Consider the following 26242-nt stretch of genomic DNA (forward strand, 5'->3'; position numbering starts at 1 on the left):
AAGTTAAACCACGTGCTCAAGTGCCAGTAGAGCAGTTTCTTGCTCCCTGCTCACTTGTACTCCGTCCAGCAGGGAGAATTAAAGATATGTGATCAGCAGATGAAGGTCTGCCAATAAGAACCATGTCTAGGATATATTTTAAAATCTACAATTGGCCTGTTTTCCCTGTGTTTCACATTGGGGTAACATTCCCCAGCCTATTAAATAGCAGCAGTCTCTGTTGTGGGGTGGGGGGAGGGGGGAGGGATAGCATTGGGAGATATACCTAATGCTAGATGATGAGTTAGTGGGTGCAGCGCACCAGCATGGCACATGTATACATATGTAACTAACCTGCACAATGTGCACATGTACCCTAAAACTTAAAGTATAATAATAAAAGAAAAAAAATAAAATAAAATAAAAATAAATAGCAGCAGTCTCTTTCCTAAACCCCAAACCCAATTCCCACAGTTTCTCCAGCTACTCCAGGCCTGATTTGTGTTCCAATTCTGCAACTAAGGTTAGAGCCTGGTGGAGAGTCCTAGACAATACAATAGAGAATCCTAGACAATATGATTTCTGGGACCCTGATATTATGCCTGGTCGTTGTAGCCCCTTCCCAACCTCCTCACTGTAGGATCTCTTTGTATCTATGACCTTGGTCCAACTCCAACCCCAAGAACAAATATGCTTCCATTCAACTAAAAGTGGTGCCACTTAAGGCTACTACTATGTCTCACTCAATGAGATTGAATCCTGCCTACTTATGTCAGCCTGGATGCAATCCATGCTATCTCTGAAATGGTGCTGTTTTATTCTACAAAAAATCAGTCATATTGCCTAACCTGTCCCCTTCATCTTTATGTAATTCCAAAATACCCTGTACATATAAAAATTATAAATTGGTTCCCACAATATTCATACACCAAAACATCCCATTACTTTCCTAAATATTTCTCAGAATTGCTGAGATACTCCATTTTTGGATCCAAGCTCTGCCTGAAATGAAGAAATGGACACAAGATACCTGGGCGGCAAGAACTAAACATTATTGCTTTGAGAGTGGTGATGAGAATCCCTGTGGCTGAGCCTCCAATTAATGGACAAAACAGCTGTGAAGAGCATCCCTAAGCTTGCCAGAAGCACTGCCTGATCCACATGGAGGACCAGCGCATAACAGGAGTATTATGTTGCAGAAAGTACAATGCCATCCCATCCTAGCCAGAGAAATTAGACAAGAGAAGGAAATAAAGGGCAACAAAATCTGTAAGGAGGAAGCCAAACTGTCACGGTTATATGATCATATACCTACAAAACCCTAAGGAGTCATCCAAAAAGCTTCTAGGCCGGGCACAGTGGCTCATGCCTCTAATATCACCACTTTAGGAAGCCGAGGCAGGCGGATTGCTTGAGCTCAGGAATTTGAGACCAGCTTGGGCAACATGGTGAAACCCCATCTCTACCAAAAATACAAAAAAATTAGCTGGGCATTGTGGTGCATGCCTGTAGTCCCAGTTACTCAGGAGACTGAGGTGGGAGAATCGCTTGAGCCCAGGGGACGGAGGTTGCAGTGAGCCAAGATCACACCACTGCACTCCAGCCTGGGCAACAGAGCAAGATTCCATCTCAAAAATAAATAAATACATAATTTTAAAAAAAAAAAGCTCTTAGATCTGATAAATGGATTTGGTAAAGTTTCAGTATATAAAATCAGTGTTCACAAATCAGTAGCACTGCTATATGCCAACAACGACCAAGCTGAGAATCAGATCAAGAACACAATCCCTTTTATAACAGCTGCAAAATAAAATAAAATAAAATAAAATACTTAGGAATATACCTAATCAAGGAAATGAAAGATCTCTATGAGGAAAACTACAAAACACTACTGAAAGAAATCCATTGATGACACAAACAAGTGGAAACATATCCCATGCTTATGTATCAGGACGACCATACTGCCAAAAGCAATCTACAGATTTAATGCAATTCCCATCAAAATACCATTACCATTCTTCACAGAACTAGAAAAAACAATCCTAAATTCATATGGAATGAAAAAAGAGCCCACATAGCCATAGCAAGACTAAGCAAAAAGGACAAATCTGGAAGCATCACATTACCTGACTTCAAACTATACTACAAGGCTATAATCACCAAAACAGCATGGTATTGTATAAAAATTGGCACACAGACCAATGGAACAGAATAGAGAACCCAGAAATAAAGTCAAATACTTACAGCCAACTGATCTTAGACAAAGCAAGCATAATATAAAGTGGGGAAAGGATATCCTTTTCAACAACTGGTGCTGGGATAATTGGCAAGCCACATGTAGAATGAAACTGGGTCTTCATTTCTCACCTTATACAAAAATCAACTCAAGGTGGATCAAGGCTTAAATCTAAGACCTGAAACCATAACATTCTAGAAGATAATACTGGAAAACCCTTTTAGACGTTGGCTTAGGCAAAGACTTCATGAGAAAGAACCTAAAAGCAAATGCAGCAAAAACAAAGATAAACAGATGAAACTTAATTAAACTAAAAAGCTCTACACAGCAAAAGAAACAATCAGCAGAGTAAACATACAACCCACAGAGTGGGAGAAAATATTCACAAACTATGCATCCAACAAAGTACTAATATCCAGAATCTATAAGGAACTCAAACATTAAGCAAGACAAAGCAAATAATCCCATCAAAAAGTGGGCAAAGAACGAGAATAGAAAATTCTCAAAAGAAGATATACAAATGGCAAAAAAAAATATAAAAAATGCTCAACATCACTAATTATTAGGGAAATGCAAATTAAAACCACAATGATATACCATCTTACTTCTGCAAGAATGGCCATAATTAAAAAATAAATAATAGATGTTGGTGTGGATGTGGTGAAAAATAAACACTTTCACACTGTTAGTGGGAATATAAACTAGTACAAACACTGTGGAAAACAGTATGGAGATTCCTTAAAGCACTAGATGTAGAACTACCATTTGACCCAGCAATCCCACTACTGGGTATCTATCCAGAGGAAAAGAAGTCATTATGCGAAAAAGATACATGCATGTTTATAGCAGCACAATCTGCAATTGCAAAAATATGGAACCAGCCCAAATGCCCATCAACCAATGAGTGGATAAAGAAAGTGTGATGTAGGCTGGGCGTGGTGGCTCATACCTGTAATCCCAGCACTTTGGGAGGCCAGGGAAGGTGGATCACCTGAGGTCAGGAGTTTGAGACCAGCCTGGCCAACATGGTGAAACCCCGCCTCTACTAAAAATACAAAAATTAGGCTGGGCGCGGTGGCTCACGCCTGTAATCCCAGCACTTTGGGAGGCCGAGGCGGGCGGATCACAAGGTCTGGAGATCGAGACCATCTTGGCTAACACGGTGAAACCCCGTCTCTACTAAAAATACAAAAAATTAGCCGGGCGAGGTGGCAGGCGCCTGTAGTCCTAGCTACTCGGGAGGCTGAGGCAGGAGAATGGCGTGAACCTGGGAGGCGGAGCTTGCAGTGAGCCGAGATTGCGCCACTGCAATCCGGCCTGGGCTAAACAGCGGGACTCCGTCTCAAAAAAAAAAAAAAAAAAAATACAAAAATTAGCTGGGCGTGGTGGCGGGCACCTGTAATCCCAGCTACTCTGGAGGCTGAGGCAGGAGAATCGCTTGAACCTGGGAGGCGGAGGTTTCAGTTAGCCAAGATCATGCCATTGCACTTCGGCCTGGGCAACAGAGCAAGACTCTGTCTCAAAACAAACAGACAAAAAAAAAAAAAAAAACAAAAGAAAGTGTGACGTAGGCTGGGCGCAGTGGCTCACGCCTGTAATCCCAGCACTTTGGGAGGCCAAGGCAGGCAGATCACCTGAGGTCGGGAGTTTGAGAACAGCCTGATCAACATGGAGAAACCCCATCTCTACAAAAAATACAAAATTAGCCAGGCGTGGTGGCGCATGCCTGTAATCCTAGCTACTCGGGAGGCTTAAGCAGGAGAATCGCTTGAACTGGGGAGGCAGAGGTTGCAGTGAGCCAAGATCGTGCCATTGCACTCCAGCTTGGGCAACAAGAGTGAAACTTCATCTCAAAAAGAAAAAAAAAAAAAGGAAGTGTGATATATATATATACATATACACACACACACACACACACACACACACGCACGCACACCATGGAATACTACTCAACCATAAAAAGGAACAAAATAATGGCATTCACAACAACCTGGATGGGATTGGAGACCATTACTCTAAGTGAAGTAACTCAGGAAAGGAAAACCAAAGATTATATGTTCTCACTTAGAAGTGGGAGCTAAGCTATGAGGATGCAAAGGTGCAAGAATGATACAATGGACTTTGAAGACTTGAGGGGAAGTTTGGGAGGGCAGTGAGGGGTAAAAGACTACACACTGGGTACAGTGTACACTGCTTGGGTGACTGGTTCACCAAAATCTCAGAAATCATCACTAAAGAACTTATCCATGTAACCAAAACAACCTGTTCCTCCCAAACTATTGAAATAAAATAAAATAATATAAAATAAAAAGAAAGTACAATGCAATAATGGACTAAAGATCAGAACTCTCTCCTACATTTTTGGTTCCCATGTGGGTCCCGCAGGACTCCCATAACTTCCATGGGAGAGGGAGACCTGCTGGGAGTCTCAACATCCCCAAAGCCTTTTATCATCCCATGACTACTTACATCACTGAATAAGGGCAAGTTAGTGAGGGCATTCCAGTGCTTCCTTGATATTCTGCCCAGCAAGCAGCTATCTCATGGATTAGGTTGCCCAAAAGCCCTTCAAGTCTTCCTAAAATGCAGTATCATCAGCACTGTGTCTAGCACAAATTCCTCTGATTTCTGAGGTATGGCTAGTACCTCACTGTACATTCTACTCATGATGTAGATTTTCTCTTATTTATCCATTCTCTATTAGAGATGATCGTATTGATACAAAAGTAAGGCTCTGAGAATGGCTGACCTATACAGCTAGTTGGTGGCTCAGCAGGGTCTGCAATCATCTTTCCTGATATGCACCCTAGTGATCTTTTAATGTCACCATACCTTCTAAACAGTACAGAATTATGAACACAAGAATGTTGCTTGACATTTTGATTTTAGTTTTACTATTAAGATATAACATGAGAGAACTAGAAAGTATCTCAAATTTTTATGACTTTTTAAGTTTTATTTTACAACATAAAAAATTATTTTATAATATCAAAAGCCTTGAGAAGGAAAGAGATAAGTCAAGGGTCAGGTGCAGTGGCTCACCCGGCAGGCGGATCGCCTGAAGTCAGGAGTTCGAGACCAGCCTGACCAACATGGCAAAACCCCGTCTCTACTAAAAAATACAAAAATTAGCCAGGCGCAGTGGCAGGTGCCTGTAATCCCAGCAACACAGGAGGCTGAGGCAAGAGAAGTGGTTGAACCTGGGAGGTGGAGGTTGCAGTGAGCCAAGGTCACACCACTGTACTCCAGCCTGGGCAACAGAGCAAGATTCTGTCTCAAAAAAAAAAAAGGAAAGAGATAAGTCAAGATGTATCCTACAGAATAGGTTAGATAAAAATGGCATGATTTGCAAAATCAGTTCAAAGGCTAAATTTTGAACTGGTTCCGAATTTAATGTGTATTTCACACATTTGTACTTTAAAATACCATTATTATCAAATTTAGGCCTCATATCTTTTTAATATATAACCTTATTATGTTTGATTCTCTGTATAAATTATTTCCAGTAAAATGCTTTTTTAAAAATAGAAAATAAAAACATGTTAGTATTTTTCTTGTAACCAATGAAGTAATTATTTACCTTGACAGAACATGTATTCTATGTTCATGTGAAGGGGTGGCCTGCCCCTCCACACCTGTGAGTGTTTCTCGTCCGGTAGAGACTGAGAAAAGAAAGAGACACAGAGACGAAGTATAGAGAAAGAAAAGTAGGCCCAGGGGACCGGCGCTCACTCGCGCCAGCACCGGTCTCTGAGTTCCCTCAGTATTTATTGATCATTATCTCTACCATCTCAGAGAGGGGGATGTGGCAGGACAATAGGGTAATAGTGGGGAGAGGGTCAGCAGGAAAACATGTTAACAAATATCTCTGTGTCATAAACAAGGTTAGAAAAGGTGCTGTGCTTTGATGTGCACATACATAAACATATCTGGTACATTAAAGAGCAGTATTGCTTCCAGCATGTCTCACCTCCAGCCTTAAGGCGGTTTTCTCCTATCTCAGTAGATGGAACACACAATCAGGTACATTCCATTGCCCAGGGAGGAGCAGGAGACAGATGCCTTCCTCTTATCTCAACTGCAAAGAGGCCTTCCTCTTTTACTAATCCTCCTCAGCACATACCCTTTACAGGTGTCGGGCTGGGGGATGGTCAGATCTTTCCCTTCCCATGAGGCCATATCTCAGACTATCACATGGGAAGAAACCTTGGACAATACCTGGCTTTCCTAGGCAGAGGTCTCTGCGGCCTTACGCAGTGTATTGTATCCCTGGGTACCTGAGATTAGAGAGTGGTGATGACTTTTAACAAGCATACTGCCTTCAAGCACTTGTTTAACAAAGCACATCCTGCATAGCCCTAAATCCATTAAACCTTGAGTCAACATAGCACATGTCTCTGCGAGCACAGGGTTGGGGATAGGGTTACAGATTAACAGCATCTCAAGGCAGAAGAATTTTTCTTAGTACAGAACAAAATGGAGTCTCTTATGTCTACTTCTTTCTACATAGACACAGTAACAGTCTGATCTCTCTTTTCCCCACATTCATGGAATAAACTTTCCAAAGTGCTGATTAATTTAATTTAATGTTCTGTTGAGTTTTTACTATGTTGCATTTAAGATATACAAAACTTTACCACTGTGTAAGCAGGAAAATGACTCCCACAGTCACTGTAAATTGAGAAGAGGGCTTTTTTTAAACCTTAGGTAGTTAAAATAGATCGGCCTTTGTAGTTACACCACTGACCTTTCTCCTAAGTTTACTTGATCGGCCATGGAATACCTTTTTCAAGTGCTCTGGAAAGTTAGGTTGCATTGGTCATCAAACTGAGAATCTATACAGGTATCACTCATAGATTATACTTCATCTATTTTTATTTTCACACAATGTACTGTGTGATGACCTACATGAAATAATGCCCTGCTTTGAGAGGTTAGACAAAGTACTTTTATTTTCCAATTCAGGCTTTAATTACTGGTTAGCCATGTACCCTCAGACAATCTATCAACTTAACTCTTAAGAAGTGGATTGGCCGGGCGCAGTGGCTCACGCCTGTAATCCCAGCACTCTGGGAGGCCGAGGCGGGCGGATCACCTGAGGTCAGGAGTTCGAGACCAGCCTCAACATGGAGAAACCCCGTCTCTACTAAAAATACAAAATTAGCCGGGCATGGTGGTGCATGCCTGTAATCCCAGCTACTCGGGAGGCTGAGGCAGGAGAATTGCTTGAACCTGGGAGGCGGAAGTTGCGGTGAGCCAAGATCGCGCCATTGCACTCCAGCCTGGGCAACAAGAGCGAAACTCCGTCTCAAAAAAAAAAAAAAGAAGAAGAAGTGGATAATACATGAGTCTATATAGCTTTGGAAAAAGAAAGCAATCAATTATGACATGGAGTACATGAGAGAGTACAGTCCTTTCTTAATACCAAACTCTAAACCTTTCAATTCAACAATAGTTTGTCAAATGTCATAACTGCTCACTTTTGCACTATTTGTAGAACTTGAATGTTTTCATATTTATACTTCACAGTAAATTAACTATATGGAAGTTACTGATTTTGATGTATTCTCTCTTGGGGAAAGGACAGGGAAGAAAGGGCAAGAGACACACTGTTCTTGGATTCCTTCTCAAGATGTTATTGAGTGTTTTCTATACAACAGGCAATGTTTTAGGTGCTGGGGATTCCGGAGAAAAGATATTTTCTCCTCTCAATAAGCTCACCCTCTAGTAGGACAGACATTTAATTGTTAGGTCAGGATACCTGATGCATTCTTAGGAATTTTGCCACTCTGAGAGCTTTGTTTTGACAGGTTTGTTTTCCACCCTTCTGAGCTGGGCAAAGGACACACAAAATCAGCTGTCAAATCAATTCCTATTCAAAACTGAGGAAAAAAAAAAAACTAACCAAAGTTAAAGCTTTTGAAAAGACAGTAAATGCATCATGGTTAGCACTATGCTAACCATAAATTTACCATGCTGCTATAAGATATAGCAAAATCAAGCCCTTTCCTGTGATACTTCAAAAAGGAAAAGAAAATATGTATTCTTTAAAAAATAAAGAGGCCAGGCACTGTAGCTCACACCTGTATTCCCAGCACTTTGGGAGGCCGAGGCAGGCGGATCATTTGAGGTCAGGAGTTCAAGACCAACCTGGCCAACATGGTGAAACCCTGTCTCTACTAAAAATACAAAAATTAGCCAGGTGTGGTGGCACACACCTGTAGTCCCAGCTACTTAGGAGGCTGAGGCAGGAGAATCACTTGAACCCGGGAGGCAGAGGTCGCAGTGAGCCAAGATCACGCCACTGCACTCCAGCCTGGGCAACAGAGTGAGAACTCTGTCTCAAAAAAAAAAAAAAAAAATTAAACATAAAAAATAAAGAATCATCTCAATTGATGCAGAAAAAGCTTTTGACAAAATTCAACATCATTTCATGATACAAACACTCAGCAAACTAGAAGAAAACTACCTCAACCTAATAAAAGCCATATGTAAAAAAATCTACAGCAAACATCATACTCAACAGTGAAAGACTGAAAACTTTTCTTCTAAGGTCAGGAACAAAGCAAGGATAACCACTTCCACCACTTCTATTCAACATATTGAAAGTCCTAGACAGAACAATTGATCAAGACAAATAAATGAAAGCTTCATCCAAATTGAAAAGGAACAAGTAAAATTATCTCTGTTCACAGATGTGATATGTAGGAAACTAAGATACCACACACACACACACACACACACACACACACACACACAGTTAGAATAAATGAATTCAGCAAAGCAGCAGGATACAAAGTCAATGCACAGAAATCAATTGCATTTTGATACACTAACAATGAGTAATCTGAAAGGAAATTAAGAAAACAATTCTATTTAAAATAGCATTTAAAAACTTAGGAATTCACAAACCAAAAGGAGACCTGTACACTGAAAACTATAAAACATTGCTAAAAGAAATTAAGAAAGACATAAATAAATGGAAAACCATCCCATGGTTCATGGATTAGAAGATTAATATTGTCAAAATGTCAGTACTACCCAAAGTGATCTACAGATTGACTTTTTTTTTACAGAAATAGAAAAATTAGTTTTAATATTCATGTGGAATCTTAAGGGACCCTGAACAGCTAAAACAATCTTGAAAAAGAAGAACAACATTGGAGGACTCACATTTCCTGATTTTAAAACTTACTACAAAACTTTGGTAATTGAAACAGTGTGGTACTGGCATAAAGACAGATATATAGATAGACAAATGAAATAGAATAGAGAGCCCAGAAATAAACCCCAGTATATATAGTCAAATGTTTTCCAACAACAGTACTAAGACCATTCAGTGGGGAAAGGACAGTCTTTTCAACAAATAGTGCTGGGAAAACTGAATAGCCACATGCAAAATAATGAAAATGGACTGTTAACCTAACCCCATATACAAAAATTAATTCAAAATGAATCATAGACCTAACAAAAGAGCTAAAACTATATAATTCTTAGAAGAAAATATAGGGCAAAACTTCATGATATTGAATTTGGCAATGAATATGACACCAAAGACACAGGCAAAAAGCAAATAGATTAATTGGATTTCATTAAAATGTAAAACTTTTGTGCTTCAAAGGACACTATCAATAGCATGAAAAGACAGCCTACAGAATGGGGGAAAATATTTTAAAATCATACATCTGATAAGGGATTAATATCTAGAATATGTAATGAACTAATCTAAAACTCAACAACAACAACAAAAATTCAAAAGTAGGCAGAGGACTTAAATAGACATGTCTCCAAAAGATTTACAAATGGCCAGTAAGCACATAAAAAAATGTTCAACATCACTACCCATTAGGGAAATGAAAATCAAAAACACATTGAGATACCATCTCACATCTACCAGGATGGCTACTATAAAAAAAACAAAAAATAGAAAATAAGTGTTGGTAAGGATGTGGAGAAACTGAAATCTTTGTGCACTGTTGATGGGAAGATAAAATGTTACAGCCACTGTTGAACACATTATGGTGGTTACTCAAAAAGTTAAAAATAGAATTACTATATGATCCAGCAATTCTACTACTGGGCATGTACTCAAAAGAATTGAAAGTATGATCTCAAAGAGATCATTGTATACCCACTGATATGGTTTGGCTGTGTCCCCACCCAAATCTCATCCTGAATTTCCACATGTTGTGAGAGAGACCCGGTGGGAGGTAATTGAATCATGGGGGGCAGGTCTTTCCCTGCTGTTCACGTGTTGGTAAATAAGTTTCATGAGATCTGATGGTTCTATAAGGGGAAGTTTCCCTGCACAAGCTCTTTCTTTGCCTACTGCCATCCATGTAAGATGTGACTTGCTCCTCCTTGCCTTCCACCATGATTGTGAGGCCTCCCCAGCCACATGGAACTGTAAGTCCATTAAACCTCTTTCCTGTATAAATTACCCAGTCACGGGTATGTCTTTGTCAGCAGTGTGAAAACAAACTAATACACTCATGTTCCTAATAGCATTATTCATAAGAGCCAAGAGCAAACCACATGTCCATTAACAGATGACTAAATGTGTGTGTACACAAAATGGAATACTAGACAGCCTTAAAAAAGTAATCCTAGGCCAGGCATGGTGGCTCATGCCTGTAATCCCAGCACTTTGAGAGGCCCAGGTAGGTGGGAGGATTGCTGGAGTCCAGGAGTTCGAGACAGGCCTGGGCAACATTATGAGAACTCGTCTCAACAAGATAAATAGATAAAAATAAACAAAATTAGCTAGGCATGGTGGCATGAGCCTATAGTCCCAGCTATTCGGGAGGCTGAGATGGGAGGATCACTTGAGCCTGGAAGGATGAGGCTTCAGTGAGTCAAAATCATGCCACTGCACTCCACCGTAGGCAACAAAGTGAGATCCTGTCAAAAAAAAAAAAGAAAGAAAGAGAAAAGAAATACTATCACATGCTACAACATGGATGAACCTCAATATTTTGCTAAGTGAAATAAATCAGTAACAAAAACTACTGTATGGTTTTATTATATGAGGTACCTAGAGTCATCAACATCATAGAGACAGAAAGGAGTAGCTGCCAGGAATTTGGAAGGGGGGAATGGTGCATTATTGTTTCTGATATAATGAAGTTAGTATTTCTAAAGATATTAATGTACTTTCTTATTTGCCTTTGCAATATGCAAGACTTTCTCCATTCAGCCTAAGACACCCATCTGCCTCTGTAGGAGATTTGGATTGTAATAGAATAAATGCATAGAGGAAGGAGAGGTGATGTTTAACACCTGACATTCAAAATAGGATTTTGCAGCAAGACTATGGGCAGTTTGAGAAACAAAAAAATTTCTAAGGGAAACCCATTCTCTTAAGAAAGGGTTTGAAAGATTGTAAAGATGAGAAAACCTAAAGAAAAGAGGAGGCGAAGGAAACGGTCTGATGTATCATGATAGAAGCAAGTCCAATAGGTTGAGGGGATTACTAGATTATAAATTCCATGCAGGCAAGGATTTTTGTGTGTTTTGTTCATTACTGTATCCCCAGTGCATAGAACAGTGCTTAGTACACAGCAAACACAGTGTTTACTGAATGCACACAGGGCTTTTTGTTCTGCTCCCTGTTCTGAACTCTGGTTGTAGAATGCTATACTAGGCAAAAAGGGTGCGGGGGTTGGGGGGGGTCCAAAAAGAGGGATCCTAGAATGATTAAGAGGGTAAAGCAAGATCACTTACATATAGGACCTGGGTTTCAGCTCCAGTACACATTTTATAGATCCACCATGACAGAGTTGAGGTGATTCCAGCAAAGCCTTATCAAATGGATGTCTTGGGCCTTGGACCAGGCAGAGAACATTTTAGGTACTCAGAGAGGGGTCTGTAGTGAAAGTAGGATCAAGAAAGGCTGAGACAGTAGGGGAGGAGGATGCCTTTAGACTCTGGCCAAGCCAAGAAAGAATAGACAGGAAGTTATCAGCTACAGACATCAATAGTTTGTGCCAACAGGATTACCAGGAACAGGACTAGACAGATACACATTAGGTGATGCCAGCCCCTGCACAAGAACCAGTTCAAGGTCACAGAGTTCAACTCCCCCAGTGCAACCAGTTCATGTGAGATCCTGCTCCTTATACTAGACATCTCTTAGAACAAAGTAGAGAGAGAAAGGGGCGTCGAAACAATAGAACAATGATTTCAAAGAGACTGGGTTAAAGAGATTATTTAAATAATTGGCTCAGAATTAGTTTCCAACCAGATTAGACTAAAATTATTTTTGTTTTCCCACACCTGCCTAGCAGTTAGGAAACGGTAAAGGAAATTGGAGAAGCTTTTAAGAATAAAATATACTCTCTTCCTTTCTCTGCCATCGAGGTGTGTGCTTGACTCTGCTTCTTGCCATGTCTTCTCACAAGACTTTCAGGATTAAGCATTTCGTGGTCAAGAAACAAAAGCAAAATCATCCCATCCCCCAGTGGATCCAGATGAAAACTGGTAATAAAATCAGGTAGAACTCCAAAAGGAGACATTGGAGAAGAATCAAGCTGGGTCTGTACGGAATTACACATGAGATGGCACACATATTTATGCTGTGTCAAGGTCACAACCATCTTACCATATCAAGCTGAAAATGTCACCACTATCTGGACAGTTGGACATGTTTTATTGTGAATATATATTTTTTTCTCTGTGTATGTGCTGTTGGTGCACTGGTAGGCTGGATTCAGTAATAAATATGTGAGACCTTTCATTTCAAACAAACAAAAAGAATAAAATATACGTTTCTTAATATATCTAAGTAGTGTAAATAATTTTGTAATTCTGTTTTCCAGAGACAGAAAACGCAGCCCTGTCTGAAGAAATCTAGTGGGATAATGAGTTATTACACAACATGGCACAACATAGCCACAGCAAAGGAGCTCCAGGGAGCACCTAACCTAGACCCATGGGAGGGAGGGCACGGCAGGCAGAGACTTCTTGAAGGAGATATCTAAGATGATAGAGTCTTAGATTAGCGAGAATATCCTAGAATCAAGAAAACAGACTCACTGTTGGCATAGCCATATATGAAGCCAACAACATTCCAATTCAATTTATAAAATCTTATTGATTACCAGGCCATGGACGTAGCATCACTGCCTCAGATGTAGCATTACCGAACAGAATCACTGAGCATGCAATTGAAGTCACATTCCTTCACTTGCTCACTATGTGATCTTAAACAAGTTACTTAACTTTGGGTACTCAGTTTCCTTGTCTTTATAGTGGGGGTAATAATAGTGTTGTTCTGGAAATTGAGTTAACTTAGAACAGTACCTGGCACCTCTTAAAAGCTCATTAATATTAGTTGTTACCATTTATAGAGCATGTATTATTTTCAAAACATTTCAGACATTTTATTTTTGTGATCCTTGGTAGATAAATAACAGCTGAGGAATTAGTGCCTAAAAGAGGTTAAATGACTTATATTATGTTTGATGAAAATATTTTTCCCTAATTCCTGTTTTCTTTGAAGAGAGCGTGTCCCAAAACAATATCTTGGATTTTCTTTGCCCTTTAACTTGCTCCATTCCTGAGGAGGAAAAGTGATTTCTCTGGTTGGGAAATTGGGGAAGAATAACTGTGAGCTTGGCTCACCTCTATCCCTCTTCCTTTTTAGGAGTGACCATGAAGTGGCCAAGCACGATTCTTCCAGTCCTTCTGTGACTGGGAGAAAGTTGGCCCAGTTCTAGAGTTCAGTTTTAGCAAACTCATTTGTCTGACAGATCTAAAGCTTCATTCTCCAACAGGACTTTTTTTTCTTCAATGTGGTCAAGCTCATTAAATAATCAGTCTCTCCCCCACCCCCATCCCTTGGAGGCATTCCTCCAAGAGCCTTCCATTCTCCTGCTGCAAACTGTGTCACTTTGACAACAATTAAATTTTAAAATAAAATACCACGCAAACTGTGTCAGAGACTACTAGTTGTCCACCAAAATTATTCTTTCTTTCCTGAACAACAAAACCTGGGTGTTAGCTAGACTCATTGCTGCCTACATAAAGGTTACATTTGTATGTACATTGGGATTAAGTTTTAATAAACATGAGACAAGCAGAAATGTACAGTATTTTCAATAATTATCCTTAAAGGAAGAAGGTTCGCCCTTCTTCTTCTCTTCTTCCATCCTGATGCCTGAATTTGGATATGACAGCTGGAGTTCTGGCAGCCTTATTGTACAATGAAGATGAGATCCACAACACAAAAGGGAGGAAGCTATGGGCTGAAAGGAGCCTGGGTTCCTGATGACTTTACAGAGCTGCCTCACCAGCTTTGAAGAGCTTACCTCTAGCCTTTTTTTTTTCGAGACGGAGTCTCGCCCTCCTGCCTGTCGCCCAGGCTGGAGTGCAGTAGCATGATCTCGGCTCACTGCAGCCTCTGCCTCCTGGGTTCAAGGAATTCTCCTGCCTCAGCCTCCCGAGTAGCTGAGAATACAGGGGCACACACCAGCAGGCCCGGCTAATTTTTGCATTTTTAGTACAGACAAAGTTTTGCCATGTGGGCCAGGCTGGTCTCAAATTCCTAACCTCCAGTGATTTTCCCACCTGGGCCTTCCAAAGTGCTGGGATTACAGGCGTGAGCCACCGGGCCCAGCATCCTCTACACTTTTATGTGAGAGAAAATATGTGAGAGTGGCTCTTATTTAAGCCACTTTTGTCGTGTGTGTGTGTGTTCCTGCCATCTGCAGCTGAGGTGATGCTAACAAATACAGCAAATCAGCTTGAAGTCCCCCTTTCCTGGTCCTTTCTCTTCAGCTATACTGCCAACCCAAAGCGCTCATTTATGGAAACTCTGGAGCTCACAATTTTAACAAGCTGCCGAGACCACCTCGGTAGGAGAGAACTTAACCCAGCGGTACTAGAGGAATTAAAGACACACACACAGAAATATAGACGTGTGGAGTGGGAAATCAGAGGTCTCACAGCCTTCCGACCTGAGAGCCCCGAACAGAGATTTACCCACATATTTATTAACAGCAAATCAGTCATTAGCATTGTTTCTATAGATATTAAATTAACTAAAGTATCCCTTAAGGGAAACGAAGGGATGGGCCGAATTAATTGAATAGGTTGGGCTAGTTAACTGCAGCAGGAAGACGCCCTTAAGACACAGATCGCTCAGGCTTTTGTTTATGGCTTAAGAATGCCCTTAAGCGGTTTTCCGCCCTGGGCGGGCCAGGTGTTCCCTGCCCTCATTCCCGTAAACCTGCAACCTTCCAGCTTGGGCGTTATGGCCATTATGGACATGTTACATTGCTGCAAAGATTTTATTTATGGCCAGTTTTGGGGCCAGTTTATGGCCAGATGTTGGGAGGCTTGCTTCCAACAACAAGCAGCTAAATTTATTTGCAAGAGTAAATGATTTCGTTTTTAAATTGGGGCCAAACAACATTTTAAAAGATCTACTCTAAGAAAAAAGGAAAGATCACCACCAAAAAAAGCCTCTCGCGTGTCCTCCTGTCATGCATTCAAAGCATTCCATACATTGTTTTTGACTAATTTATTATATCAATTATTAGGAATTTTTAAAGGACTTTTCCTATGCAAACTCTAAGAGCTCAAGTTTTGTTTTGAATAGAAATACAACTATATTTACCACTATTTATGTACATCTCAATACATTTTCTAATAAATATTTATTGTATACTGACTAATCCTCATTTCATTCTTAGGTTCTGCCTTTTTTTTGTTTTCTAATTTGGGCTGAAACAATTACGCTCTGATTTTGCTCACTGAATTCACTCTTATATCCCCTCTTCACAAAGTAAGAAACTTTCTGGAAACTTTGGCCTCTGCCATGCACTGGGAACCTCCTCTTCATCTAATTTGTCTGACTACCATCTTGAACCCAGCAAGGACAACTAGATGTGACCCCTTCTTTTTTAAAAAAACTATTATTAAAAGTCTATCATGTGCTAAGTGCTAGAATAGATGCTTCAAATGCTTTCTTTTTTTCTTCTAATCTTCATGCCAAATTTGCAAGTGAGGTCTTGTTCTCTCCATTTTATGGGTGATCAATCGTGATTCAGAGTGATTAAAACGAATCCAAGGTTTGTTTGCCTCTAAAGTCTGTTTTCTATCTCACTTTAAGAAAATCTCTCTCTGATTTTCCATACCTCTGTATCATTACATTCAAGTCTTCCACTTCTCCAACTTCAACTCTATTTCTTTTCCCTGCTTCCCTTTTGCTTCTCACTGGCTGTATCTGGATATTTCAAAAGTACAGAATAAGTTGTTCAATTTAGAAGGGATTCTGAAAACACAAATCCAAATTTTACAAAGTAAAATTATGACATGATAATAATGGTGCACTCTGAAATAAAGTGCACAGAAAATGCCAAAGAATATAAAAACCAAATATAAGGCAGCCCCGTCCATTTCAGATCCACAAGGTCACAGGATTAGGACCTAATTATAAATAATAACCCAAATAACTCTTTTCCTTTCAGAAAGCATACATACATACACACAACCCTGGAGAAAGTCTTTTCCAACTACAGTCCTCCTCCCACTCCCCAAATGCATTAACTTCAATGTTTTAGAAAGCACTAGAGTCACTGCCAAATAGTTGAGGTTATCCATCAGATGTTCCCCAAGGTGAGCCTTCTCCTGACAACTACAGCATGAGATTATTGTGTATATATAGATCACTGTCATGCACAGGACAGGCACATGACAAATGTGCATTAAAATGAAGGCTGCACATGGCACCACTGTAGCCCTAGACTGCAAACTCATTGGCATTCCAAGAACTTCACAAATAGCACAATAATGTGACTTTTCTTTTTTAAAAAGGACACTATGTAGCTTGTAAAATTAATCTTAGAGGCACATCATATTAATCATGGTTCCATTACTTAGCAGTCTTCATTTTCATTCAAAATATGAAATTTCCAAGATTAAGATGATTTGGATTTACAAATCTTGTAAAATTCAAGCATTTGTATGAGAATAAATCACTACTAAAGGAATTGATGTCATCAATATCTTTTACTCCTTATATCTAATTGCAACACTGGGCATTAAAGTGAGAGTTTTACTGGAGGAAGGACAGCAAGAAAGGCTAATTTTGGAGCCCTGGAGAACAGTGATCAACAGGAGGGCAGTGTAATGAGATAGTCATAGGAGAGACTGAAAGTGGGAGGGGGCATGGAAAGGGAGAACTTGAAGACAAACATAAATGTGATCTGTTTTCACAACATGGTCAGGGCCTCACTCTGCTAACATTTGTATGTACGCTAGTACTTAGTCTCTATCAGGCACAGTTCTAAGCCCTCATTTACTTAACAATAGATACTACTTTCATCCCCATTTTATAGTTGCAAAAACCAAGGCCCAAAGAGGTTGAGTACCATGCAAAGCTTCACAGCTAGTTAGTGGCAGAGCTGGGATTCAACACCAGGCACCACTTCATAATCATGAATTATCATTTTACACAGCATGCAATCTAGAACAATCACTTTCAATCTTGTTTTTAACCATAATCCTTCCAGTAAGAATACATGACTCAGTACACCAAAACATAAGTAACAGAAATAGAAGTTTTGTGAAATAATACTTTTACCAAATGTAATGCATTTGGTAGTCCCAGCTACTGGGAATGGATGAGGAAGGCTGAGGGAGGAGGTTGAGGCTGCAGTGAGCCATGATTGCACCACTGCACTTCAGCCTGGGTGACAATGAGACCCTGTCTCAAAAAGTAAAATAAAATAAAGTAACTTTTTCTATTGGTTATATGTTGAAATGATGCCTTGGATATATTAAGTAAATTATATTGCTAAAATTAATATTACCTTTTTCAAAACTTTCTTTTCTTTTCTTTTTTTTTTTTTTTTTTTTTTGAGACAGTCTCGCTCTGTCACCCAGGCTGAAGTGCAGTGACATGATCTGGGTTCACTGCAACTTCCACCTCCCAGGTTGAAGCGATTCTCCTGCCTCAGCCTCCACAGTAGTTGGGACTACAGGCATGTGCCACCATGCCTGGCTAATTTTTGTATTTAAAAAAGTTTTTTTAATGTGGCTACTTGAAAATTTTAAATGACCTATGTGGCACTTAATATTTCTATTGGACAGTGCTTTCTGCTCATTCAGGCCAAAAACCTTGGAGTCATCCTTGACTCCTTTCTCCACCAATCCTGTAGGTTCTATCTTCAAAATAGTCCAGAATTCAGCAACTACACCACCTGCTATACCACCTCCCCCCCATCACCCCCAACCCCCCGACACAGAGAAAACACACACAAGTCACTTTCTCTTGCTTGAATAACTAAAATAGCTTTCTAACTGGTCTCCTTGCTTCCTTCCTTGCTACACTCTACAGTTTATTCAACTATTTCCCATAAAGTTGCGGAGCGATCCTTTTAAAAGGTCAATCAGATTATGTCACTCCTCTGTTCAAAATCTCCATGGCTTTTTTTCCAAAGTTTAAAAGCCCAAGTCCTTGCAATGGCCTACAAAGCCTTAAAAGATCTGGTCACCCGTCTGTGCTCCTGATCCCTTCTCCTGCCCCATCTGTCTGTCCTAATCTCTTACCACTCTCTTCTTCACTCAGCTATGGTGATCTTCTTCGGTTCACCAAGTATGCTCCTGCCTCATGGCCTTTGTACTTCCTATACCTCTACATGTAACCCTCTACCTTAGACTTCTTCTTTCTCGCAGTTTGGCATCACTTTACTGAACGTTATATTTAGAAATGCAAACCTCTCTCTGCTTACTCTTCCACACTTCCCCCTTCCTATTATATATAGGATATAACATATCCTTCTTATTATATAGGATATATTATATCCTGTATAATTTATTTAATTTATCTGTCTCCCACCAATAAAATGTAGGAGTTCCTTGAGGGCAGTGACTGTTTTATTGCTGCATTCCCAGCACCTTATGTGCCTGGCAAATAGTAGGGGCCAGAAAATGAGCTGTGGGTTCCCAAAGTCAGTTACGGACCATTTGCAACTAGCCATTCTCAGAAATCTACAGAAATAAACAAATACTTCAGTATGGGGTTTTTTTTTTTAACTTATATCCTCTTTGGACCTACAGTCATTCCACAATAAAGAATGCAAGAATCTTCTCCACACGCCACAAGTCTTAGTTAACCAAATCTTCTGTCCATTTTCTCATAACCATTAGGAGCCCTCCAAAAGCCCTGGAAGATGGGTTTTCCTTTACCCTCAGGCATTAAATCTCCTTAAGCATCTGCAAAAAGTTCTGAGTTACTGGCCTAACATAAGTGCAGCTTAATCTCAGACGATCTCCGGGTCTATCTAGTGTACATGAGGTACACCCGGACACCGTTAAGTATCAGTGGTGTTTGCACTCTCGATGGTTTGCAGACTGGCCACACCTTACCTACTGGGTCTGCATTCAGGAACATGTGTCCTGTCTGTTAGCACTAGAAGTGATGGACACGTGTTGGCTGGAATGTCAAGGCTGTAGCCAGGCCCCTTATTTTAGACACTTAGAAATCAGGACTCTGAGAACTTAGGCCAAGTAAAAATTATCAAAACAAAGAAACAAAACACGTGGTGGCACAAAAGACACCAGAAGCCAGGTCGTTTGCCCCTCACCATTCAGCCCTTCCCAGCAAAAGATCCTACTGTGCAGCTCAACCTAGCTCGCAGCCGGTACCGCGGGATTTTAATGTGCAACTGTGAGCTCGCAGGCTGTTAAAGGAAGGCCGCGCCTTGGCCGGTGCACCTTCCCCAGGGCAAGGAGAAAGCGCCGCTCCCGGCCTCAGCCGCAGCAGGCTCCAGGTCCCCCGGCCCGGAGCCGACTGAGACGGTGCGGTGCCCACGCTCTCGCGAGACTAGCGGTCGGGGCGGGCGGGTCGAGCCTCCCGGAAGTGGGCCAGAGGTACGGTCCGCTCCCACCTGGGGCGAGTGCGCGCACGGCCAGGTTGGGTACCGGGTGCGCCCAGGAACCCGCGCGAGGCGAAGTCGCTGAGACTCTGCCTGCTTCTCACCCAGCTGCCTCGGCGCTGCCCCGGTCGCTCGCCGCCCCTCCCTTTGCCCTTCACGGCGCCCGGCCCTCCTTGGGCTGCGGCTTCTGTGCGAGGCTGGGCAGCCAGCCCTTCCCCTTCTGTTTCTCCCCGTCCCCTCCCCCCGACCGTAGCACCAGAGTCGCGGGTCCTGCAGTGCCCCAGAAGCCGCACGTATAACTCCCTCGGCGTAAGTGCTAGGAATGCCGCTGGCCTCGCGGGGAAACGCATTCTTTCTATCTATAGCTCGCTCTGTACATCTTCTGTCTACGGCAGCTATTCCAGAGGCAACAACTGCTTCCCTCTGTTCTCATCTCCCCATTGGTGGCTGGCGACCCGAATTTGGGAATGGGGAGATTGCCCACCTGTTATCTTTGAGCAGACTAATCTCTTGTAAGCAGAAGTGCCATTCGGAGTCTCCAGAGCCCTGTGGCTTGGGGCTGGGAATGTCCCCCTGACTTCAGGCTTTCCTAAGTGTATTGCTTTTCTCTGAGAATGGTCTAGGTTTTTAATTTTTTAATTGTAAGAATCTGTAATACAGCATTTTTATTTCGGTCTTATTCGTTGTGCTCAAAGGCAGGAAACAACTATTAATTTGCCTTCTCGAATCTTAATAGTTATAAGATTCATTCTCTTTCATTGCTCTGCTAGGCATAAAACACACTTCGAACATGTAAGTGCCGCTGTCAGCTCTGGAGAGTTTAAGGCAATAGTTATTTTCGATATTTTAACTCCTTTTTGTTTCATAGGGGTAACTCATTCGACTGTGGAGTTCTTTTAATTCTTATGAAAGATTTCAAATCCTCTAGAAGCCAAAATGGGACACAGTAAACAGATTCGAATTTTACTTCTGAACGAAATGGAGAAACTGGAAAAGACCCTCTTCAGACTTGAACAAGGTCAGTAGCAAGTTGTTTTGATTTGCTCATTTGCGTCTTTTAAACTTTTAATTCATTGGCAGTCCTGTTAAATGTTTTAAAGCTCTAAGATAAATATTATTTCCAAGGGTCTAAAACTTGATTTGTGCAAAGATGGTGCTGTGTTCTCCATATATCACTAATTAATGTTGATTTGAATTAAAAATATTTTATATCCCTCGTGTTAGGATAAGGATAAAATAGTTCTCTTTTCTCTGCGTACTAATTCCCACTTAAGATTGAAGTTAAATATATGATCAGAAGATTGCCCATATTATTTCTAATAACATTTACTATTAAAACTTGGTAAATTACTTCATATGTAATTTTGCTTTGGGTATGCATGTAGTTTTGCCTTTGTATAACTGTCTCTTTTCCTTTGTTGAACCTTTGAATTGACAAAATAGATTGCAGCAAAAAGTATAGTAAACTATTGTTTATGTATATCAAAAACTTCTCAAATGTGGAGTAGGTAAAAGCTGAAAATATTTTCTTAGCAAATAAAAAGTGCAATAACTCATCTGGTTATGTTGAACTATATATAGTTGATCTGTATTTAAAAGATCAAATTACTTTTCTACAAGGCTAGTTAATAGATGTTTTATTTTCTTAGCCTTTGTAATTTTTCAACATTGAAGAAGTGTAATATATGAAAAATCCAGTCCCCCTTATTAATGTACCAAATGGATGTTGCTAGTCATAAACATTTCAAAGGAATTTTTAAATTTCGCTAATGTTTTAAGAATTAAATTTTTGAAAAAAATTTCACACATACAATGTGATATCTTCATGCCAAATCCGCGCCTTTTTCCAACTTTGGCATTTAAAATCACTGAGTACCTACTCCATTTTTGGCTTTCCTGACTCTGCACTTTTCTGGTTTTGATTTTTTTTTCCCCCTCCCCTGTTGCATATTCTTGTCAACTTGGTGTCTCTTACTAGGCTCTCTTCCTTTCACTTTTTAATTAATTATGGGTATCTGCTAGGAATTCTTTTTCTGTTCTCCTTCAAAGAATTAGTTACACAGTCTCATGGCCTCAACTGTTGCCTCTGTGCTAATGACTACTTTTGGAGGAAAAGCCTTGAGCTTTCTTCTTCTTGGAAGCTTTCAGCATTTGATGACGGGTAGATCTAGAGCCAGAATTCTCCTGGCTCTGCTGCTAACAAGCTGACTTGGGGCAAGTTACATTAATTCTGAGCATTCATTTCTTTTTTTTTTTTTTTTTTTTTCCTTTTCTCTTTTTCTGAGACAGGGTCTTACTCTGTTGCCCAAGCTGAGTGTTGTGGCATGATCATGGCTCAGTGCTGCCTCAACTTCCTGGGCTCAAGCAGTTCTCCTGCCTCAGCCTCCCAAGTAGCTGGGACTGCAGGCATACATCACTATGCCCCGCTAATTTTTTTTTTTTTTTTTTTTGTAGAAACTGGGTCTCACTATGTTGCCCAGGTTGATATTGAACTCCTGGACTCAAGCAACCCTCCCTCTTTGGCCTCTGAAAGTACTGGGATTACAAGCATAAGCCACCGGGCATGGCCCCAATTCTGAGCATTAATTTATTTATTGGTGAGATGAAAGTGGTAATTTCTGTTCTTCTACCTTTCTAGGTTTTGAGACTCAAAATTAATAATACATGAATTTTTTGTGATAAAGCCCTAAATAAATATAAGGCATTGATATGAATCACTCCATGTATTCCCACCCTGGACCTTGGCTTCAACCTGATATTATGCAATAGAATAGTATTAGGATAGCTCAACTTGGATATGCTTAAATCTAGCATGTCCAAAAATATCCCCTGCCCATTCTCGATCCTTTATTTCTCAGCTTCCCTGTTTATTTCGTGGCATCTCCATTTTTATAGTTCCCAGGGTAGAAACCTTATATTCTTTGATGATTTCTTCTCTTTTCCTGCAGTCTCTTTTTAAGCTTGCAGTTTCTTTCCAAATATCTCTGATTGCCTGTCTATTCTGTATGGCTGAATATAGATGCCAGAATAATCTTATGCAGTCTCTTCCCTTTGTTATTAAGTGGTATGTATAAAATCAAATTTAAATACCTCTGTCTGACTTCTAAGACATTCTGTAATGAGACTACACCTTCCTTAGCCAAGATTGTATCTCATTCTCCATCATTAATGTCATAGATCTTTACAGTTGCCCAAGTCATTCCTGTTAATTCCCTTCTCAGCAGGTTTTCTCATGCCTGTCCTTATACCCGTACTCCCATCAGATTCCTTTATATCTGTTAAATCTCATTTACTGTCAGTCTATGTGTTGCCTAAGTTTCAACTTTCAGCTAGAATATCACCTCCTTTGTGAAGTCTTTCCCTAATTTTTCACTGTCTGCTTCCTTTGATTTCCAATTACACAATGAGCACAGAACTATTAAGTGCTGAATAATGAAGCAGTGTCTAAAGGCTTGTTAGTCTTACAGTGTCAGACTAGGGTTTAAAATCTGTGAGAATTGATGAGGGCAGGTGACTCACACTTGTAATCTCAGTGCTTTGGGAGGCTGAGGCTGGAGGACCACTTGAGGCCAGGAGTTCATGGTCAGCCTGGACAACATAGTAAGACTTTATCTCCACAAAAAAGAAACAAAATTAGCTGGGCATGATGGTGCTTGCCTGTGGTCCCCAGCTACCTAGGAGGTTGAGGCTGGAGGATCTCTTGAGCCCAGGAGTTAAAGGCTGTAGTGAGCTATGATCCCACCATTGCACTCCAGCCTGGGTGACAGAGTGAGACCCTGTCTTTAAAAAACAAAAATAAAGGGCCGGGCGCAGTGGCTCACACCTATAATCCCAGCACTTTGGGAGGCCGAGGCATGTGGGTCACCCCAGGTCAGGATTTTGAGACCATCCAGCCTGATCAACATGGTGAAACCCCTTCTCTACTAAAAATACAAAAATTAGCCAGGCGTGGTGGCGCATGCCTATAATCCCAGCTACCTGGGAGGCTGAGGCAGGAGAATCGCTTGAACCTGGGATGCAGAGGTTGCAGTGAGCTGAGATCACACCATTGCACTCCAGCCTGGGCAACAAGAGCAAAACTCTATCTTAAAAAAAAATAAAAAATAAAATAAAATCTGTGAGGATAGGGACAGCCTTACAAACTTAGTGCAGTGTACTGCTGATTGATTACTAGAACTCTAGTTAAAACTAGCAAAAATTGTAAAAGCTAACCTATTTGAAGAGGGAAATTGAAGGATTTATGAAAAAAGAATGATGTGGTTGACTTTATAACTCTGGTTAAAACCGGTAAATGTATCCAAATGTTATAAATGAGAATGTGCCACCTTTTTTTGCAGTAATGGTGTGATCATTTTGTTTTAGAAGATAATTTGAAGCCGGGTGCGGTGGCTCACGCCTGTAATCCTAGCACTTTGGGAGGCCGAGGCGGGCGGATCACGAGGTCAGGAGATCGAGACTATCCTGGCTAACATAGTGAAACCCCGTCTCTACTAAAAATACAAAAAAAATTAGCCGGGCCTGGTGGCGGGCGCCTCTAGTCCCAGCTACTCGGGAGGCTGAGGCAGGAGAAAGGCGTGAACCCAGGAGGCGGAGCTTGCAGTGAGCTGAGATTGCGCCACTGCACTCCAGCCTGGGTGACAGAGCAAGATGCCGTCTCAAAAAAAAAAAAAAAGATAATTTGAAATGTGAAAGATGAGTGGAAGAGTGGTAGAGAAGGGACATTGGAGACAAGAAGCATTGAGAAGGCTATTTTAAAAACACATCTGATTAAAGAAAAGGATTGAACAGCCTGAGTTGAAAAAGAGAGGACAAGGCCAGGCGCGGTGGCTCACACCTGTAATCTTGGCACTTTGGGAGGCCAAGGCAGGCGGATCACCTGAGTTCAGGAGTTTGAGACCTGCCTGGCCAACATGGTGAAACCCTGTCTCTCCTAAAAATATAAAAATTAGCCAGGCGTGCTGGCGGGTGCCTGTAATCCCAGCTACTTGGGAGGCTGAGGCAGGAGAATTGCTTGAATCCAGGATGCGGAGGTTTCAGTAAGCCAAGATCGTGCCAATGCACTCCAGCCCGGGCAACAGAGCGAGACTCCGACTCAAAAAAAAAGAAAAAAGAAAAAGAGAGGACAAAGTATGAGTTATTTTCAAGTTCAGAGGACTTGGTAACCAATCAAATGTGAGGAAAAACTCTGGCAGTTTTTGGCTGTTTCATATTTAATTGGTCATCAAAGCCCTCATATTTCTTTCCTTCTCTCTTTTCTACAAGAAGGAATTCCTCCTCGTTTTTAAGACTGATATTTCTATAGATTCTTCCAGTTCAACAAGTACAAGAATAAATAATGATCTTTTCTAGACAAATCATAGCTTTTTCGCTTATTTCCTATCTCATTTAGTGGTAGAATAATGAATAAAATCAGGCCGAGCACGGTGGCTTACTCCTGTAATCCCGGCACTTTGGGAGGCCGAGGCGGGTAGTTGACCTGAGATCAGGAGTTCAAGACCAGCCTGGCCAACATGGTGAAACCCCATCTCTACCAAAAATACAAAAATTAGCCAGATGTGGTGACATGCACCTGTAGTCCCAGCTATTCAGGAGGCTAAGGCAGGAGAATCGCTTGAACCCAGGAGGCAGAGGTTGCAGTGAGCCAAGATCACACCACTGTACTCCAGCCTGGGCAACAGAGCGAGACTCGGTCTCAAAAAAAAAAAAGAATAATGAACAAAATAAGTACTTCCCAAATCTGAAATTCTTCCATCTTTTAAGTAGGTTGATGAAATTTATAATTTTTACTATTTTTTAAAGAAAATATTTAGACATAAAGGTTCTTTGATTAGAAGACTGAGTTTCTATAAATTGAGTGGAGGGGAAAAGATAGAACATATTTATTTACAATAATAGTTTAATCACTCATTATGCTAGTTGCCTACAAGAGAGACATGGCTAATGCAAGTTAAGTATCCTAGCATTAGTATGAGGAATAAGATAGCCACACCATGTACTGCTATGACCTCAGCTAATTTTAGCAAACTGAGTCATGGAATCTGACCTACTGTAGGCTCTCTGATGTTTCATTTACTGTATATAAAAATTTTAGTTTCAGTGATTTGCATTAGAGGTCTACAGAGTGGCTATGTATCCCTTGGGGTAT

General features: G+C 40.8%; 1 protein-coding gene and 1 pseudogene across 12 annotated transcripts in view, besides 5 other annotated features; both read left to right on the forward strand.

Moving 5' to 3' along the window:
* Window positions 6237–6873: an enhancer, noted in NCBI's record as "NANOG-H3K27ac hESC enhancer chr1:100301802-100302438 (GRCh37/hg19 assembly coordinates)". NCBI's record gives its function as "activates a minimal SCP1, AML or CMV promoter by ChIP-STARR-seq in primed H9 embryonic stem cells {active_cell/tissue: H9 hESC(primed)}" and the evidence as "EXISTENCE:reporter gene assay evidence [ECO:0000049][PMID:30033119]".
* Window positions 12552–12953, forward strand: RPL39P9 (ribosomal protein L39 pseudogene 9; annotated as a pseudogene).
* The window catches only part of AGL (amylo-alpha-1,6-glucosidase and 4-alpha-glucanotransferase), a 74766-nt gene continuing 67772 nt past the window's right edge, over window positions 19249–26242 (forward strand). For 6 of the 12 annotated variants that reach the window (NM_000642.3, NM_001425326.1, NM_001425327.1 and 3 more), the window contains exons 1-2: window positions 20352–20406; window positions 20966–21115. In NM_000642.3, the coding sequence (NP_000633.2) occupies window positions 21034–21115 (82 nt within the window). In that variant the 5' untranslated portion in view covers window positions 20352–20406; window positions 20966–21033. The other 6 variants (NM_000646.3, XM_005270557.3, NM_000643.3 and 3 more) reach the window with 6 other exon arrangements.
* Window positions 19498–20472: an enhancer, noted in NCBI's record as "H3K27ac hESC enhancer chr1:100315063-100316037 (GRCh37/hg19 assembly coordinates)". NCBI's record gives its function as "activates a minimal SCP1, AML or CMV promoter by ChIP-STARR-seq in naive and primed H9 embryonic stem cells {active_cell/tissue: H9 hESC(naive and primed)}" and the evidence as "EXISTENCE:reporter gene assay evidence [ECO:0000049][PMID:30033119]".
* Window positions 19673–19822: an enhancer, noted in NCBI's record as "active region_1362". NCBI's record gives its function as "activates an Ori minimal core promoter by ATAC-STARR-seq in GM12878 lymphoblastoid cells {active_cell/tissue: GM12878}" and the evidence as "EXISTENCE:reporter gene assay evidence [ECO:0000049][PMID:35858748]".
* Window positions 20003–20322: a silencer, noted in NCBI's record as "silent region_1114". NCBI's record gives its function as "represses an Ori minimal core promoter by ATAC-STARR-seq in GM12878 lymphoblastoid cells {active_cell/tissue: GM12878}" and the evidence as "EXISTENCE:reporter gene assay evidence [ECO:0000049][PMID:35858748]".
* Window positions 20473–21446: an enhancer, noted in NCBI's record as "H3K27ac hESC enhancer chr1:100316038-100317011 (GRCh37/hg19 assembly coordinates)". NCBI's record gives its function as "activates a minimal SCP1, AML or CMV promoter by ChIP-STARR-seq in naive H9 embryonic stem cells {active_cell/tissue: H9 hESC(naive)}" and the evidence as "EXISTENCE:reporter gene assay evidence [ECO:0000049][PMID:30033119]".

This window comes from Homo sapiens, chromosome 1 (genome assembly GCF_000001405.40).
Source record: "Homo sapiens chromosome 1, GRCh38.p14 Primary Assembly".
Lineage (NCBI taxonomy): Eukaryota > Metazoa > Chordata > Mammalia > Primates > Hominidae > Homo > Homo sapiens.